The sequence below is a fragment of the Homo sapiens genome, chromosome 7 (genome assembly GCF_000001405.40).
Source record: "Homo sapiens chromosome 7, GRCh38.p14 Primary Assembly".
Taxonomy (NCBI): domain Eukaryota; kingdom Metazoa; phylum Chordata; class Mammalia; order Primates; family Hominidae; genus Homo; species Homo sapiens.
The window spans coordinates 117,137,471-117,156,567 of NC_000007.14; the positions used below are offsets into that span (position 1 = coordinate 117,137,471).

The 19,097-nt window shown below is 39.8% G+C and overlaps 1 protein-coding gene and 1 long non-coding RNA gene across 19 annotated transcripts in view, besides 1 other annotated feature; one reads left to right on the plus strand and one right to left on the minus strand.

The window, feature by feature from the left end:
- The window catches only part of ST7-AS2 (ST7 antisense RNA 2), a 73,521-nt gene extending 65,399 nt beyond the window's left edge, over window positions 1-8,122 (minus strand). For both annotated transcript variants that reach the window (NR_109981.1, NR_002331.3), the window contains exons 1-2: window positions 7,926-8,122; window positions 6,697-6,783 (exon numbers count right to left, since the gene is read on the minus strand). This is a non-coding gene — a long non-coding RNA (ST7 antisense RNA 2). The remainder of the gene's footprint in view (window positions 1-6,696; window positions 6,784-7,925) is intronic.
- The window catches only part of ST7 (suppression of tumorigenicity 7), a 276,676-nt gene that overhangs the window by 183,970 nt on the left and 73,609 nt on the right, over window positions 1-19,097 (plus strand). For all 17 annotated transcript variants that reach the window (NR_161420.1, NR_161421.1, NR_161422.1 and 14 more), the window contains one exon: window positions 965-1,062. Coding sequence is in view for 11 of the 17 variants with exons in the window: in NM_001369607.1 (NP_001356536.1) it covers window positions 965-1,062 (98 nt within the window). In the remaining 6 variants the exon portion in view is untranslated. The remainder of the gene's footprint in view (window positions 1-964; window positions 1,063-19,097) is intronic.
- Window positions 17,332-18,125: an enhancer, noted in NCBI's record as "OCT4-NANOG hESC enhancer chr7:116794856-116795649 (GRCh37/hg19 assembly coordinates)". NCBI's record gives its function as "activates a minimal SCP1, AML or CMV promoter by ChIP-STARR-seq in naive and primed H9 embryonic stem cells {active_cell/tissue: H9 hESC(naive and primed)}" and the evidence as "EXISTENCE:reporter gene assay evidence [ECO:0000049][PMID:30033119]".

Here is a 19,097-nt window from a genome sequence, read left to right on the forward strand (position 1 = left end):
CATTAATTTTCTTTCTTTTCTTCTCTAAATTAAATCTTTTCAACCTGTTGCCTAAATCCATCCAAAAATATAATCACATTTTTAAAATAATTTGTAGGTACTTGGCAGATTTTCAGCACACATCTTGTTCTCATTGTTTAAGTCTTGAAATGTTAGGACTTTGGTCTTAACATCTTTTAATAGCTGCATATTATACATGTACTTAATCTATAACAGGTGTGTCATATTTTCTCAAACATGGTAATTTTTATCGAGGATTAAGCACATGCATGTTCTCATTGGTCTGAAAACATATCCAACAAGACATATAATTAAATAAAAGATTAAGATTAGAAATTGTTAACGTACTTTTTAAGAGTCATTTTAGTGATTGTTGTTACAACTATTTAGCTTGTCAATTCTTTCTCTAACACTAGGGTAGTTTTTCATTTTGTTGCATACTCTATTGTCATATCTGGAATGTGTTATATTGCCATCTAAAATCAACTGCTTAGGGGACCTGGAGATGATTATGATGTCACTAGTGTTAGGGAAAGAATAATATAAAGCAGAAGTTTAAGATGAGGCTTCTCCAGACTTAATGTCAAGAATGAAAAAAAAATAGTTCATCAGGATGTAACCTGAGATTCACCTCTGCATCTTTACCAAAAGAATGCACGCTTGAAGAATGTGGAATTCCTGCTTGTAAACCGTATACACTGTGGGTATGTTCATTTTCGCAGCACTTTGTGGCAGATGATTTTATTTATTATCAAATATTCAACATCCTCACTCAAAAGCATGGATTAGGTAATTAGTCAGATGATTTGACCTTTGGGAGTCTAAGTGCTTTTACTTTACTTGATCTTCATTCTACTATTAACAAAGTTGTCAGTGCTATGAAAATTTCCTTTAGGGGCAAGGCAAATGGGCCTCTGTATTTTTTTTTTTTTTAAATGTTGGTGTTTTATATCTCCCTCTTCAGGACGAGACACCAATGTCTTGGTGTACATCAAAAGAAGGCTAGCAATGTGTGCCAGAAGACTCGGGAGGACCAGGGAAGCAGTGAAAATGATGAGAGATGTGAGTTTGAGTTTGTGTTTGGGATCAGTGGCTTACAGATATAGGAGCCCGCTGAATGGCCATAGCAGTCTGTACCAGTGATGGTGTGGTGGTCCCATGGGTTCTGGAGCCAGACTGTGTGGGGTTCAACTCTAGTTCCCAATTTACTAGATGAATGATGTATGTTGGGCAAGTTACTCAGCTTCTCTTTGCCCTAGTTTCTTCATCTCTAAAATGGGAACAACAATAACAGTCCTCACAATTACTTCTTAGAATTTTTTCGAGGACTAAATGAGATAATACATACAAGCTTCTAATAGAGTGGCTGGCATATTTTAAAAATGTCAATAGATGTCCTTATTAAACCTTTGGGGCTGCAGCTGGAAGCCAATAATGAGACCAGCCATGTTAGCAAACTGATTTTTTTTCTGTGTAGTTGTTAGGAAGATTCGAATTAATTATGGGTCAAATTACTACTCTCAAATTTAATAATATTATGAGTTAATCCTATTGTAGTTGTTTCAAGCATTTTCCTAGATTCTTGAACCAGGATTCTTTATTAGTAGTCAAGACAAAAGAAGAGAGCAAATAGGTGGAAGTTTTAAAACAAAAGAGAACCAAGGGAGGTTATTATTATGTAACTTTAAAACAAAACAGAGGTTTTAAGGGAAACCAGTTGGGGAACTTGGATTTCCGTGTTTTTTGTTAATAGGAAATACTTTTCATAAAGAAACTGACACCAGTATGAATTGTATTTATAGGCTATTTTCTTTTTAAAAACAATCTCAGAAAACCTTTGTCAACATTTCATTCTTTTGCTGAATTAGAAGGCATACATAACTGCCTATTATAAAAATGAAAGAACCAAGCGGCAAGATAAAAGTGGCATCTTGCTCAATTCTCAGCTCATGGATTTGAGCACACTAGGACTGCACACTTGGTGAGCCTTTTCTGAGTTTGTCTCTGGAAAGACAGTTATTCTTGTGAATTCCCGGTTACTCTTTGGAGGAGGGAGCACCAACACTCAACGCTCACCCCTGGTTATTTCTGCAAGTTACAGCATGATGTGAGAAGGCCCAAGTGAGACTCATGCTTTGGTTTTGGCCACTCCATTAGGCAACAGTGTAGCCCCCAAATCTGAGGAGAGGAACTAGAAGGGAAGGTTATAAAGTATTTCTCTTTGACTGCAGGTGATAGATGCTCTCTAGGAAAGAGAATCTCCCTCAATTAAATTATTTTGTTTGAAGGAAGAATTCAAAGAATGTTATATGGTATAAGTGCTAATTTTAAGAAAAGGAGATTTCTGCCGAGATATGAACTTGCTCTCAAAGCTTTTTAACTTACAGAAATTCCATCCTTTGATATACTTCATCCCTCTGCCAGTCACTTTGGCTCTGAAGGAGCTGGGTGTTTTATGAAGGATGAGGTATTTCTCTATCTTAACCTGGCCCAGCCACATTCAGCTTTTAAACAGAGTTTTCTTAACTTTAATTAGCTTGGAACAGGCATGCATTGAGGAGCTAATTTTGGTGATTTTCTTGAGTGCTTAAGCAACTTAATAGGAGGAACAAATTCTGATGATTTTAATTTCAGGTTTTTTCTGTCAGTCTCTTGGTTATCATAATTTTCAGTACATATAAAATTTCATGTGATTAAAATCAATGCATCTACATTATGATTTGCTTTTTGTTTACTATTATTTTATACTTACAATTCCATTGATTGACCTAGTTCACATGTAGATCTTGGGGGAGAGATGGATGCAGTGGGAGAAACACTAAGCAGGAGTCAAAACACCTGGATGTGGATCTCAGCTTTGCTCTTTACCAGCTTCATGACCCAAGGCAACTTATTAATACCTTTTATGTGCTTTTCATTTAGTCTTCTGTAAATTGGGGATAATGATTCTTACCTGAAACGATAATTGACTGGGAGAATTAAATAAGATAATGTGAAAACACCTGACATATAGTAGGCATGCTTACAATTTTTTTTCCGATTTTTCTCCGTTATATAAATATGCCATCATTTGCTTGACCATTCTCCTGATGGACATTTTACGATATTTCTAATTTATTTTTCTTGAATGAATTGATCACTCAGTTAATTTCTCTCTTCCTCTCTCGACATATGTGTATACATACACATACATATTTATGCATGTTTGTATATATATGCGTGTTTCTTATATTACGTTTCTAAAAAAAAAGTCTGTCATATTCTTAGAATACCAATACATGTGCTCCTTTTTCTGGGTTTATGGAGCATCCAGTAGACATGGGCCTTCTGGTATAACAGTCCTGTAAGGAACACTCTCAGACATGGTAGAGATATGTTTTGAAGAGAAATATTCAAAGTGCTCCTTCCTTCAGGGACTGCTTTTATCAATCCTTGCACCACAAACAGAGGAGGGAAGGTTGAGGACCCTTCTCTTTGCTAAAGCTGTGGCTGTTCCCAGCCTTGCAGGAGACAGTTGTTGGCCAGGCCTAATTTGTTTGGCTCCTCTCCGGTCATGGGTCAAGATAACTGCGACTTCCCTGAGAGATTCACTCCTTTAACAGCATGCACATAAACCATTTTGCTGGAAGACTTTCTCTGATAAAATAGCTCAGTAGATTCCAGACAGCCTGCTGATAGAGGCTTAGGCAGGATGATCTAATTTCTTATTAAGACACAGCCATCTTCTCCCCATATGCATGAGTTTAAAACTTTCCTAGAGCAGATTTCATAGTAGAAATAGAAATGTCAGTTAGAATGCCTTCCATGTAGAAAGCAGAATCGTTTAAAGAAATTTCTCTGGAAACACCTTAAGGAAGGGGAAACTGTTAATTGAAAAGAGATTCTAAAAAAAAATGAAAGGGAATTCTGGGAAGGCCAGCAGTAGATAATTTCTTATATTTTCATGGCAATACACCTGTGAAATATTGATGAGGTAAACACGTCGACTCCTTAACATCAAGATTCATCACTTCTCATTTTTTAAAGCAACACGTTAATTATTTTGAATTCCCAGGATGTTTTTCAAAAAAACTCATTTTAATTAGCTTCCTTTTGCAATCACGAATATGGAAGCGGCACCTTACTGCTGAAGGAATATTTTGGCAGTAAGCAGAGCTAAGAGAGCATGCTGGCTTTTTCTTTCTTTCTTTTTCTTTTCTTTTTTTCTTTTTCTTTTTTAAGACAGAGTCTCACTCTGATGCCCAGGCTGGAGTGCAGTGGCACGACTTGGCTCACTACAGCCTTGACTTCCCAAGCTCAAGTTGTTTCCCCACCTCAGCCTCCCAAAGAGCTGGGACTGCAGGCGCACACCATCATGCCTGGCTAATTTTTGTATTTTTTGTAGAGACTGGGTTTTGCTATGTTGCCCAGGCTCATCTTGACCTCGTGGTCTCCAGTAATCCACCCACTTCGGCCTCCCAAAATTCTGAGATTACTGGCCTTGCATGCTGGCTTTTGAACATCACTGTAATGTAAGGTGTTATTTATTATTCAAAATAAAAAGTTGCATTTTCTGCTTTATTAAATTTAAGGAAAGGTCTTTCTGCTTGCTCTCATGTTTGGTAATTTTGCCTCTTCAACATTTAATATACGATACAATTTCTTTTTTCCTTTTGACATCTACTGTTTAGCTAACCTCAAGTTTTCCCTCTGTCTTTCCCTGGCCCTATTTGAGTAGATTTGGAATGAATGTCATAGGGCTGATGACCATGGTCTAGTCCCTTAGCCATACACTGTCAGAACTGTCATGGATAAACTAATAAGGATGGGATAGATTGCCTGTATGAAAGAACTCAAAAGCTGCTGTGCTTCAGTCATTCGGTCTAGAGCAGGATTTCTCAGCCTCAGCACTGTTGACATCTTGGGTCAGATTGGGGAGCTGCCTTGTGCATTGTAGGATGTTTAGCAGCATCCTAAGCTTCCACCTACTAGATGCCAATTGCAGCTTAACCCCTGTACCTCCCCAGTTGTGAAAAAAAAAAGATGTCTCCAGAAGTTGCTAAATGTCCCCTGGGGGGCAAAATCATCCCGCATTAAGAACCACTGATCTAGAGAATCTTGAGGTGAGTAGATCTGTTTCAGGGCTGACATTGGGTGTTTTTTTTGTTTTGTTTTGTTTTTGAGATGGGGTCTCTTTCTGTCTCCAGGCTGGAATACAGTGGCATGATCTTGGCTCACTGCAACCTCCACCTCCTGGGTTCAAGCGATTCTCCTGCCTCAGCCTCCCGAGTACCTGGGACTACAGGCGCATGCCACCACACCCAGCTGATTTTTGTATTTTTAGTAAAGATGGGGTTTCACCGTGTTGGCCAGGATGGTCTTGATCTCTTGATCTCATGATCCACCTGCCTCGGCCTCCCAAAGTGCTGGGATTACAGGCATGAGCCACTGTGCCTGGCCCAGACATCGGGTTTTATCCACTCTGTGTGTTAGGAGTCTGGGCTTCCCTTAGTGTGGGTGTAAGCCTCTGAAGCACCCCCAGATTTGACCAGCCTGGTTTTGGGGGCTGTTTTGCCCAAATGAGATTCCCTGAAGATCCATCCCAGGGCAGGAAGAGTAAATGAACCTGGTGGGGTCCTGGTGGGAGGGCTGACAAAGAGGAGAATGTGATGTGGGTTGGTGGTCTCCCTTGCCCCTCATGCATGCTTCGAGATCATTGTTTGCTTCATTTCCCTAAAATCTACAGTTCCTTTGAAAGTAGACTCTGGCGTTATCACCTTTCCCCGGTCTTTTTGCAGTTTCCTGTTGACCTCTGAGCCATTCTCCCTCACTCTTGTTTCACTCTGTTTGCAACACTACCTCTTCCTGTATCCTGGCCTCTCATTTCTCACAGATCATCATGCTGTTCTTGAAACATTTTATTTACTTGATTTTAGAAAACTATACTCTTAGTTTCCCTAAAATCTCATAATCTCTTTGCGGGATTTTCCTCATCTTTGTGACTTCCAAAATTTGAAGTGTCCCCTGGCCAGTCCTGGGTGGCTACATTCAATCTCAGAGTTTTAAATATCATCTCAATGACAAACGTTTCTGTAGTGTTTACTGTGTCCTAGGCATTGTTCTAGGTGCTTTACAAATATAACCTCATTTAATTTTCCTAACAACCCTTGACATTGGTGCTTGTTAAAGGTCATGTAACAAGGTAGTATTTCTGAGAGTGTGGTCTACAACCACCTGTATCAGAAGTGCCCAGGGTGCTAGTTTAGTACTCACCTCACAGGGTAGATGTCAGGATTAAACGGGATAATTCAAGCAAAGTACTTGGGACCAGACTTCATGAGTAATAACGACTCATTGTTGCTGTTCTTACTGTTATTGTCCAAGAGATATTGTTAAGTGAAGAGGAAAAGTATAAACATAGGTATAATTTGATTCCATTTTTTCAATTAAAAATATATGCTAATATAGACTAATAGTTCTCAAACTTCTTGGTCTCAGAACACCTTTAAAATAATTGAGGATCCCCAAACCTTCGTGTGCGTTTACCTGTTGATATTTACCATTTTAGAAAATTAAAACTGAGAAATTTGAAAAGATGTTAAAATAATGGTTACAAATACATTATATGTTAATACAAATAACATTTTTGTGAAAACTAACTATATTGTTCAAACAAAAAAATAAGAAGAGTGACATTGCTGTTATACTTTTACAAACCTCTCTAGTGTCCAGATGAGCAGGAGGCTGGAGGCTAATATCTGCTTCTGTATTCAGTCTATGGTGATATTGCCCAACAGGTGACCTCTTGGAGTGGGAGAGGGAGAGTGAAAAAGGCAAAGAAAAATTTTATTATTATGAAAATAGTTTTGATCTAAGGACTCCCCGAAAAGATGTCAGACACTCCTCAGTGGCTCACACTTGTAATCCCAGCACTTTGGGAGGCCAAGGCAGGCAAATTGCTTGAGCTCAGCAGTTGGACACTAGCCTGGGCAGCATGATGAAACCCCATCTCTACCAAAAAAAAAAAAAAAAATTAGTTGGGCATGGTGGTACATGCTTGTAATCCCCAGCTACCCAGGAGGCTGAGGTGGGAGGATCACCTGAGCCTGGTAGGTCAAGGCTGCAGTGAGCTGTAATCAGGCCACTGCACTCCAGCCTAGGCAACAGAGTAAGACCCTGTCTCCAAAAAAAAAAAAAAAACCAAAATTCTGGGGGTTCCCTAACCATACCTCCAGGGGTTCCCTGACCATGCCTTGAGAGTCACTTGTATAAGCATAAGGAAAAACCTTGATTATAGAGAAAGTCTTTAGCATTAAAATTATAGCTGTCTATTTTTTGTATTTAGGTAATGTTGAGTATTATATGTGCTACTTGTATTTTCTTATGATGATAAAAGTAAAATTTAAAAATAAAGATTGAGACCACTTTCAAAAGAACAAAGTAGTGGATGCAAAAAAGGTAGAAAATGGCCAGGTATGGTGGCTCACGCCTGTAATCCCAGCACTTTGGGAGGCCGAGGCGGGGCAGATTGCTTGAGCCCAGGAGTTTGAGACCAGCGTGGGCAACGTGGTAAAACCCCATCTCTACTAAAAATACATAAATTAGCCAGGTGTGGTAGCACACGCCTGTGGTCCGTGGTCCCAGCTGCTTGAGAGGCTGAAGCAGGAAGATCTCTTGGGCCTGAAGTTAAGGCTGCAGTGAGCCATGATTGTGCTACTGCATTCCAGCCTGGGCAACAGAATGAGACCCCATCTCAAAAAAAAAGTAGAAAATGGGGTAGACACAGGGAAATATGGATGTGGTGAAGAAAAACTTCATCCACCTAGAATTTTAGCGTAAAACCAGACCTGTGACTAGTTTATTCCCAGGCATATTAGTTTCCTGGAACTGTGATAACAAAATGCCCCAAACTAGATAGTTTAAACAACAGAAATTTATTCTCTCACAATTCTGGAGGCTAGGAGTCCAAGAACAAGGCAGGTGGCAGAGCCGTCCTCCCTCTAAAAGCTCTAGGGAGCAATCCTTAATTGCCTCTTCCAGCTTCTGGTGTTTGCTAGCAATCTCTGACATTCCCTTGTAGCTGCATTACCCCAGTCTCTGCCTGTCTTCACATGGCTTTCTCCCTGTGTGTGTGTGTTTCTGTGTATAGATTTCCCTCCTGTCATAAGGATATAAGTCATATTGTATTTATGACCTCATCTTAAGTTGATTGTTTCTGCAGAAACACTATTTCTGATAGGGTCACATTCATAGGTACTGAGGGTTAGGATCTCAACATGTCTTTCTGGGGGACATAATTTAACCCACAATAGCAGGTCATATATAAAAGCAAAATACAGATACCCTGTATAAATTTACATTCTTCTAAAACTTCACTGCTATATCAGGTCAGCTAAAAACATGTTTTGTATGCCTTTGACCATGTTAAACCCACTCTCAGCCTAGCCTGTAAAGATGATAGCTGCTAACTAACCCTCTGTGTTCTTACATTTGGCTCCTTTAAAAAAATAGTCAGAGGGAGCTCCTTGTGTCCTTTCTGCATTTTCATCATCATCTACAGGATTCCCAGCTGAGAACTACAGGGTTTTTAGTTTTTATCAATAACCTACAGAGTGAGTATTACATGTGCCATACATTCTGCTAAGAAATTTACAAATACTGTGTCATTTAACTCACACATACCATGAGTGTCCTATAAAATTACAAAAGTAATTTATGCTCATTGTGACAAGTCAAAGAATTGAGGAAGTTGTGATATCACCTACACTTCTACAGTGCCATCGCACTGTAAAGGCATATGTGACTGAAGACTGAAGGAGATGCCAAAGTTAGTCATGTGATGTATTTTCAAAGGCCCTGAGGCAGCAGTATGTCTGGAGTGTTCAAGCAACAGCAAAGGAATCTTGGGTGGATAGAACAGAATAAGCCCAGGGGAGAGAAGGGAGGGAGCTTAAAGATCATACAGGGCTTATTGATCACAGTAAGGATTTCAGCTTTTACTCTGGGTGAAATGGAGAGCTTTGCAAGGTTTTGAACAGAGGAGTGACATGACCAGTCTTAATTTTTACAGGCTGCTGTGTAGCAGCAGAGAAGCGGAGGAGTCGGTCAGCAGGCTCTTGTATTAATCTTGGCAAGCCACAATGGCAGCTCAGGCCAGAGTGGTAGCAGAGAAGGTGGTGTGAAGTGATCAGATTCTAGATATATTTTGAAGGCAGGACTAGCAGAATTTGCTAATTAATCAGATATGCAGTACAAGAAAAAAGAGAAGTCAGGGCTGATTCTAAATATTTGCCTTGAAAGGGAAGGAGTTTGTGTCAGCTAAGATGTGGAAGTCTGGGGTGAGAGAGGTTTTTTGAGAGAAAATTACGAGTTCAGTTTTGAACATGTTACATTTGAGAGAGCACCTATTCATTGTTATCTTAAGTAGTGACTTCTTGATCTTTTTGTGGACTATGACAAATGTATACTTTGTTGGGACATTTTGGGGGATTTGATTAGATCCCTCTTAAAATATAGTTGGTGAGGAACTTCAGGAAGATAAAATCTAATTGATTTCAGAGAAACTGTGACTATAACAGTCTTTGCAGAATACAGAATGTAGTGTCTTGTGTGTTTAATTTATATGTCTATAGATCTCTGCTTCTTCCCTGTTTTACTCAACACTGTTTTTCAATCTGTCCATTTTTGCTCTATGTACCTCTTGCATCTAGTTTGCAGTTTCTAACTGCTGCATCATATTCCATGTTGTGTTCTTACTCTATTTTACTTAACCTTTCCTCTAGTGAAGGAACTCCAGGTTTCTTCCAACTTCCTGTTATCCCAGCAGTGCTGCAATGAACATCCTTGTAGACATGTGAGAAACATTCATTAGGCTGTGGGATTATATACGTGCTAGATTCCAGTGAGTCCTGCAATTTCACTCTTCAGAATGGCTGCCTATGATTAAATTCTTACGAGCAATACCTGACTATGCCCATGTATCTCAGTACTAGGCTCTGCTTCAAGCACGTCTATATTTAATATACATATTTATATATTTTAAAAATTTATTACATATAGCTTTTCATGATGTTATTTCATAATTTAAAAATACTATGTAGTTTTTTTCTTCCTTTTCATTTTGTATTTTATTTGGCTAGTTTTTACTCTTATTTTGCCTGATTAGTCTTGGCAGAGGTTGTCTATTTTGCCAGTCTTTTAAAAACAATTAGGTTTAGTTTATTTCCTCAACTTTTTTGTTTTTATTCTGTTTTTTCTTTCCATATTTGTATTATTGTTTCTTCTCCTCCTCATCCTTCTCCCCCTCTATCCTCTGTGTTTGTTGCCTTTTTACCATTTGATCCTAAGCATTTTTAAATTTCTTTTAAATTTCATTTTACCCTGTATAGTATGTTTTACCCCTCGTCATTGATTGATTTTTTTCTTTACATTATGCTTAGAAAGCATACATCATATGATATTGATTTGGGGAGAATTTATGGTCACTTCCCCTGAGGCCTAGCATATGGTCAGGTTTAATAAATGTTATATCTGTGTTTGAAGGGAATATAATCCCTGTTGGGTATAAAGATTTGTATGTATTTACTAGTTTGAGCTTATAAACCATATTATTCAAATCTCATATATCAGCTTATTTTGTCTCTTTGCTCTATCAGTTTCTAAGAAGAATGTGATAGAATATTCACCTCCAACTGTTTATTAATCTGTTTTTTGCATGCTCAGTTATTTGTTCCTTTATATATTTTGAGGTTTTGTTGTTGGGTGCGTTTATGTTGGTGATTATTATGACTTACTGATATGTTATTATGAGTATATAATGTCTCTTATATTTATCTTCCTTGAATTTTTTAACATATGTTAAGAATACCTACTCTAACTTATTGTGATTCATATTTAACTGGTTTATTGTTGTCTAAATTTTATAATCAAGCTTCCTATAAGTTTTTGATGGATCATTTGGATCTGTAAAATTTTTGATGAATATTGTCTTTATTCAAATCTGAGGGTTTTATACTTTTGATTGCTATGTTTATCCCATTCGTGTTTATAGAGAGTAACAGAATAATTACTGCTTTTTTTGAGCGTGTGTGCTGTCTTTCATGTTTTCTATGTCGTACTTTCTCTCCCATTGAAAATATCTTCCACTGATTCAACATTTTAAATTTCTGTTTTATTCTTCTGATATTCCCAACTCACTAAGATCCATACTTATATTTATGGTTCTTGATCAGTTACTAAGCCTATCACTATGTCAATATCTATAAATTATTCCCAAATGATAGAATTAATTTAGCATATGGTGCCCTGCTTCCCACCCTAAATCAGGAGGCAACCATGGACATTTGTGAACAGCTTTTCCTTCTGTGAGATGTGTGGGGAGCACTGATGTCTGAGTTTCTGCTGGGCTGGCAGGGTTGCTTCTGTGAGCAGAAGCCAGTGAAGTTGTTGATTTCTAGGGTAAGCAGAGAGGTGATCACTGGAAACAGACTTATTTCAGACCTGGGCCACCAGGAACAGAAACCAGAAAACAGGCAAAGCCAGCAATGCATGCGATGACCAGGGAGGACAATGAATTGGGTCTCCTGGGTTTCCCTTTTAAATAATCAATGCAAAAGCGTTGATCATATCCTTCTTCCTGGACCGCTATCTCTACTGCTTGTTAAGAGCAGATACCCTGGTTAGCCTTTGCCCTCTCCTTGGGCCTGGGGAAGTTACCTTTGTGACTCAAGAATCCTCAGGTACACAAACCTGCTTTCTGGGACCTCCCACTGAGCCATTTAAATACAAGCTTAGGCTCTAGTAGGACATCTTTACTCTTTCACCAGTAAAATCATTACTGCCTAAACAGAGTAAAGATAGTTACCACCGACCTTCCTACCCCTAAACACCCATTTCTTTAAATCAGGTGGGCTGTCCTTACAGCTTAATGTATCACTGTCCCATTTTCCACTCTTGATTCATGATTTCTTATTGTTCCATGGAGGGTCAGGAGGGGCCCTTCTCAAGTTTTCATTGGAGAGATGCTCTCTGCTCCTACTCTGATGGGCTCCTCTGGCATTTAGGTGTGTAGAGGTATTCTCACCCTCCAATTTTTGCTATATGCAAGTATTTCATTTTATCACCTTGACTGTCCGTGTCCTACCTTTTTTTTTTTTTTTTTTTTTTTGAAGGCATTGTTTTTTGAGCCCATTGACATTTTATTCTAATTTGGATGGATAGCTGTGGTTTTTTTGTTTTTCTTAAAACTTGGTTCTGCTTCTTTTACTGTGTCTTTCCTCCTTTTTCTTTTTTTAATTGGAGGAACTTACTTCAGAAGTCTAGTTATCCTTGGCTAAATGTTAACATTTAAAACCAAGCACCAAAAAGCTTTTGGAGGCTGTATGTTTCTATCTAGGGATGATTGCCTGATAGGGTTTACTTGTGGTTGCCCGGGCAACTGGCTTATCATTTAATCACACACTGCCCTCAAATGTCAGTACCTGGATCTTTTTTTCTGTGGTGGTTCATTTCCTCCATGGAAAGATCGTCAGGTCTTTTCCTTGTGGACTATACACCTGACTGCCAGTGTTTCTGGGATCAGGTTGGGAGACAGAGCTGTGTCGTTCATTATCCAGACTGTCACCTTAATTATTCTGTTGTTAGCACCAGGCCTCGCTCAGTCCCTCACTCTGCCTGATATCCCTGGTTTCGTGGTTGTCTGAGGTGGGAAGGAGAAACTGGAGTGTCTAGTCACTATGGGTATAGACTTAAACCCAGTCTTGTTCTCTGGCTTCTTCTGTGCCTCATGCCTTCAAGTGCTGAGGTCCTCAGGGATTCTGTTTCCTTTTTGTTTGAATCTCTCCCTGAAAGTATTTTAGGAGGTAATGTTGTCCACTCTTTTCATGCAGTTACCCATATTCCATAAGCTTTACATTGCCTAAAAATTCTTCATAGTGTTCCATCTTCTCTTGACTCTTCTGTTTCTGGTTTTAGCTTTTTTAAGCTCTTCAGGTGGCCAGTTTGGCATTTCAGTTGTAACCTCTTTTCAGTTACTTCCCTCCTGGAACACTCTTTCCTGCTGTCTGGGTCTCTCACTTGTGTAATTTCTCTTCTGCCTCTCCATCTGCTCCTTCTCCATCTTTTCCCTGGCTCTTCCTGCCTGCAGCTTCTCAGTGCTGGAGGGCTGCAGCCTCTGCCTGGGCCTCCATTCTTCCCTGTGACACTCCCTTTCCAGCCGTCTCACTTGGCCATCAATTCTAAATACAGGCTGTAAGGTAATGACTCCTATAGTTGTATTTCCCTCTTCTCTGTTGAACTCCAGATTTATATTCATTTGCCTACCTGACATCATTACTTAGGTATCTAATAAGTACCTCAAACTCAATATGTCAAAAAAATTGAACTTTCCAATCATTTATGCCAAATCTGTTTCTTCACTATCTTGGCTATCTTGGTAAGTCACATTACATCTACTTAGTTGCTCACGTGAAAAACCTAGGAGTTATCCTTGATTCCTCTCTTTGCCTCACCTTTCACATTCAATTAATATGTGCAAGTCCTCATTGGCTTTACTGCCAAAGCATGTACACAGTCTAGTCACTTCTTCCAACAGCACTGCTGAAATCCTCATTCAGGTTACCACTGTCTTTCATCTCAGCTATGCAGTCGGTCTCCAGACTTCCACTGTCGCCTGTATAGAGTCCATTCTGATGAAAGTAACTCAAACTACTTTTTTAAAACTCAGATCAGCATTTGTCACTTTTCTGCTGAAAAGCCTTCAGTGATTTACCATTGCCTTTAGAATAGAATGCAAACTCTGTATGTGGTCTGCGAGGCCTCACATGATCTTGTCCCTGCCTACTCTTCTGAACTCAGCTTATGCTACTCTTTTTCTAACTCACTAGGCTGGACTCACACTGGATTTCTTTTTGAGTGTGCCAAGCTTGCTTGATCCTTTCTTAGGACCTTTGCACAGGAATAGACTGATCCAGATCCTCACTTGGTTGGCTCCTTCTTGTCATTTAGGCTGAGCTGGAATAGCACTTTAGAGTGGACCTTCCATGATACCCAGTTGAAGGAGCACTATGCACAAACACTCATGTGCACACACACACTATTTTTTTCTTATCTATTTTTCTTATTTTTTAATTGCCCCTTCACTTTTGAAATTACTTATTTGTTTATTTACTTATTTATTGTCTGTATTCCCCACCTCCATTACAAAATAAATTCTACAAAGGCAGGAACTTCATCTTCCATGGCACTTGATAGATAGGCACTCAATTAATTTTTGTGGAATGAATGGATGGATGGCTGAATGCCTGTATGGGGAGTAGAGGGGTACACTTTCCACCCCAAATCCTCGTAAAACTCAAGATAAGAGGACTTGACTAAGAATTTATGACCTCAGGCTGGGCATGGTGGCTCACGCCTATAATCTCAGCACTTAGGGAGGCTGAGGCAGGTGGATCACTTGAGGTCAGGCATTTGAGACCAGTCTGGCCAACATGGGGAAACCCTGTCTCTACTAAAAATACAAAAATTAGCCGGTGTGGTGGCACATGCCTGTAGTTCCAGCTACTTGGGAGGCTGAGGCAGGAGAATCGCTTGAACCGGGGAGGCAGAGGTTGCAGTGAGCCGAGATCATGCCATTGCACTCCAGCCTGGGTGACAGAGTGAGACACCATCTCAAAAAAAAATAATAATAATTTATATATATATAAAATATATGTATTATATATATAAAAACTATATATATATATATATATATATATATATATATATATATATATATACCATGAACAAATCTTTAGTTTCTTTAGTGAACACCTCTCTGATTATAGAGCAGGCAGTCATTTTATTTCCATTAAACTTGGGGCAATGAGAAGTGTTGCTCAGCCCAGCTGCTCTGAAGTCAAGTGTTTAATTACATAAGGCTACTGTCCCACAACCCACTCCTGCTTTCTGTCTCTGCCAACTCCAAATTTGGAACCTCTGTGAGGCTCTTCTCAGAACAGCTATAGCTTCCTCTGCTGTGGCTTAATCATGTCCCACTTAACAGTTTATCTTGGAGGAAATTGTTAAAATCTCTTGACTCTGCCAGCCATTCCTCCCACCTGCTTTCCTGTTTTCATTACAGGTATAGATTTCTCTCCTTCGACACCATTTTCTAATAATTTCAATAGGTTTTGTTGCAGGGGAGAGGAGTAGCTAGGTTTGTTCAGTCTTCCATCTACATTTGTAAGTCTTTTGCCTGAGTCCTTTTACTGCTGTGATATGGGCTGTATAGAGCCTTCACAAGTGGATCCAGAGTTTATGCATTAATAAATAACTCCATCTGGTGTTCTCATACATCACTGATTTTAGGGAGATAATTTTTTTAGATCTTTTGCTGAAGAGTCAAAGGTCATTTTATGCTGCTGCTTCAGAGTACAACACATGTCTGTCTCAGAGAGAGAGAGAGGGAAATGCTCACTCCTGTCTTGTATAGTTTCCTGTTTCAACCTTGCCTTCTATTTTTCGGTAATGGAGAGACACAGTTCAAATGTTCTGGGTTTAATTTAGTGGGTCCCGGTAGAATAACCCCAAGTGGATTGTGGGTTCAATTTGTGAGATTTAAGAGGTAGAGTTGAGAGAAGTTGGAGACTAGGTAAGTTTTTGCTTGCTTTTATTTTCAGGGTGGTTGGTGTTGTATGAGGAAGAGACTAAGAAAGATAAGTCATAGATAACGTCTGGATTTCTTGCCTGGGAAACTGGGCAGAAAACATCATCATCATGGGGACTGAGATTGTAGTCTAAGTAGCTGGTTTATGGATGGGTGGGCAGGAGGAATGATTTCAGCTTTAGATCTGCTAAACCTATGGGTCATCCAAATGGAAATATTTAGAAGACAGTGGGATATACAGACCCTGAGCTTATGAGAGAGATATGGGCTAGAGGAAGTTCTGGGAAGGATCAGCATGGGAGGTGATTTAGATAGTGAGTGAAGATGAGATTATGGAGGAAAAAGTGAGTAGAGTAAAAAAGAAGAGGAGGGAGAAGTGCAGGATCAATCAGTCAAAGGATACTTAAAAGAAGTGGCCAGAGAAGTAGGAAAAAAGTTTAGGACACTGTTGTGTCATGAAATCCATAGCAACAGAACATCTTAGAGGGAGGAAATGGTCAACAGTATTAAATGCTACAGAGAAAAATGTATATATGATCTGAGCAATTCTTAGTCCAGTACTTGTCACACAATTACTCAGTAAATATTTGTTGTGGAGAAAACTATTTGTTACCTTTTACTTCAAAGAGGTGGTTGGCAATTTGGCAAAAGCAAGATCAGTAGAATGTAAAGTGTATAAAATAGATTCAATTGTGTTATCTCCCGAATGTGAGGTAAGATGTCTACTGGAGTAGTAGAACTCTTGCAATAAGCTTAGATGGAAAAGGAAAAGAGAGGTGATGATACCTAGAAGGGAACCTGTAAGCAGTAGAAGACCTGAGCATGTGCCAGTGTGGATGGGAAAATACTGAAAAGCAAGGGAGAAATTAAACATGCATATGAAAGAGAGGGGATCACTGATAGAATGAAGTCCTGAGGAGTGCAGCGTGATGAATTACAGAGCATAGGAGGGGAGGATTAACTAAAGGAGTACTACGGAATGAATGTTTGTATTCTCCCCAAATTCATATGCCAAAGCTCCTCTCCCCACTGTGATGGCATCTAAAGACGGTGCCGTTTGGGAGCTAATTAGGTCATGAGGGTAGAGCCCTTACAGATAAGACCAGTGCCCTTATAAGAAAAGACAGGAGAGGATCTGTTTGTGCCATGTAAGGATACAGCAAGAAGGTGCTCCTCTGCAAACCAGGAAGAGGGCCCTCACCGGAAGCCAAATCTGCCAGGACCTGGATCTTGGACCTCCCAGCCTCCAGAACTGTGAGAAATAGATTTCTGTTGTTTAAGATGCACAGTCTGTGACATTCTGTGATAGCAGACTGAGCAGACTAAGACAAAGAGGATTCCCTGTGTGGCTGACAGGGCTAGGAAGATGGATCTGGATGCAGGTGGGGCCTGCAGAGGAGGGATATGGTAGAGGTGCAGAGTGACAGGGTTCCTGCCTGCTGACTTTTGTTTACTTGATTAGATAGAAGACAGGGTCATCTGCTGGGAGTTAACTGAAAGGAGGTGAGTTAAGAGTATTAAGGGAGTGGTGGAATTTGCAGGAAAGAAGTCAGCAGAGAGGTAAATCCTGGAGGTTTACTGGGTAGTTTTGGCTTGATAGAGGTCAGAGATCAATATACTTTAGTTGTTCCTCTATACCTCATAGTTGTGCCCTTTGGCCTGAATGTTGGAGCAGAAATGATAGACATCTGGGTTGATCTAGGGTGAGGGTGTTGCTATGTGAGTGGAATGAAAAGATGTGAGGAAGTCAGGAACTTGAGGAATTGGCAAGGAAATGGAAAGGTGATGGGCCGTGGGCTCTAGGTTGGAGAAGGGAGGAAGGGGAGGGAGTGTAAGAAGGGATGATGGATTCATTCTTTTTTAAAAGCAAGCATCTATAGAATGCCTCACACCAGGACAGACAACATCCCTACCAGCATGGGGAGGGGAGACATGAATGATAAAGGCAGTTAAAGATAATGATAGGTGCTATAAAGAAACTAAACAGGCTGTCATGGTAGGTAACAGGAGGGCCTAATTTAGATAAGTGCTCAGGAAGGGCCTCTCTAAGAGGTCATATTTTTGCTGAGATCTAAAGGGTGAGAGGGAGCCAGCCACATGAAGATCTGGTCAGAGGAAGAACTAATGCACAGGTCCTGAAGCTGGGAAGAGTTTAGCAAGAATGGAAAGGAGGCTAAGGTGACTAAAGGGAAGGTCAGAATGAGATGAATTTGAAAAGGCAGGGAGCAGCCATGTCATTTAGGGCTTTGTAGTTGTGTAAGGCATTTAGATTTCATTGTAAGTACAATGGGAAGCTTTTGAAATGTATACAACAGAGGAGGGATGAGATCTTACTAAGCTACATTGTCAAGAATGGAGAGCAGGAATGGAGGCAGGAGGCCAGTCAAGAGGTCGTGATAGTATACCAAGCAAGAGCTGAAGAGGGTTTGGATTTGGGAGTGGCAGTGAAGAAGTGGTTGGATTTGAGATATATTTGGACATATGTATCTCAACGCCCTACCCTTGGTTCATAGGCCTCCCCTTGGTTTAAACCATCATCTCTCACTTGGAGTATACTAACAGCCTTCCCTTTTAACTGGTCTTTCTGCTTCTACTCTTAATTCTATCTCCACATAGCAGAGAATGAAGCCATTGAAAGCATATGTAAGATAATGTTACATTTGACTTCCAACTCTCCAGGGACCTCTCATCTCACTCAGAGTTTAAACTCTAAAAGTGGCCTACAAGGCTGTCCACAGCCCAGCTGCTGTGTTCACTATGCTCCAGCCATGCTGGCCTTCTTGCATTTGTTGAATACACCACTCATTCCCACCTCAGAAACTTTACACTGCTGGAAGCTTTCCCCAGCATGCTTCTCTTCCAGACATTCTCATGACTTGCTCTGTTACCAGTTTCTGTTTATGTGTCACCTTGCAATCCTACCTTCCCTGATTGCTATATTTAAAAATCACATCTGCCTGTGCTGTACCAACATTCACGAACCCATTTCCCTGCTTTACTTATTCTCCTCAAAATTTATCATGATCTGACAGTCTATGGATTTTATTTATTTGCTTATTTTCCATTTTTCCTTTCCCCAGAATGCTATTTTCATGAGGACAAGAATTTTTTATGCCTATTACTGTATCCCAGTACAATAGTGCCTGATACACAGTAACTACTCAGTAACTATTTGTAAAATGAATCGAATAGATTGGCTGTGGAAAAAAAGAAATGGTATAATCAAGGAAAGTTAAAAGTGCACAGCTTTTTAGCCTAATCAACTTGGTGGTGGTCATACCATTTACTGAAAGAAGGATGACTAGGAGAGGGACGGGTTTTAAATGGTACAGTGGGCATTGTGCTTGTGTCATGTAGAGTTTCAGATACCTATTATAGCTCCAGGTAGGTATTGCAGGAAGGAAATTGGATGGAGGCCTGGAACTCAGAGGTGAGGAGTTTGGGAGTTATCAACATATACAGGATTTAAAGCCAT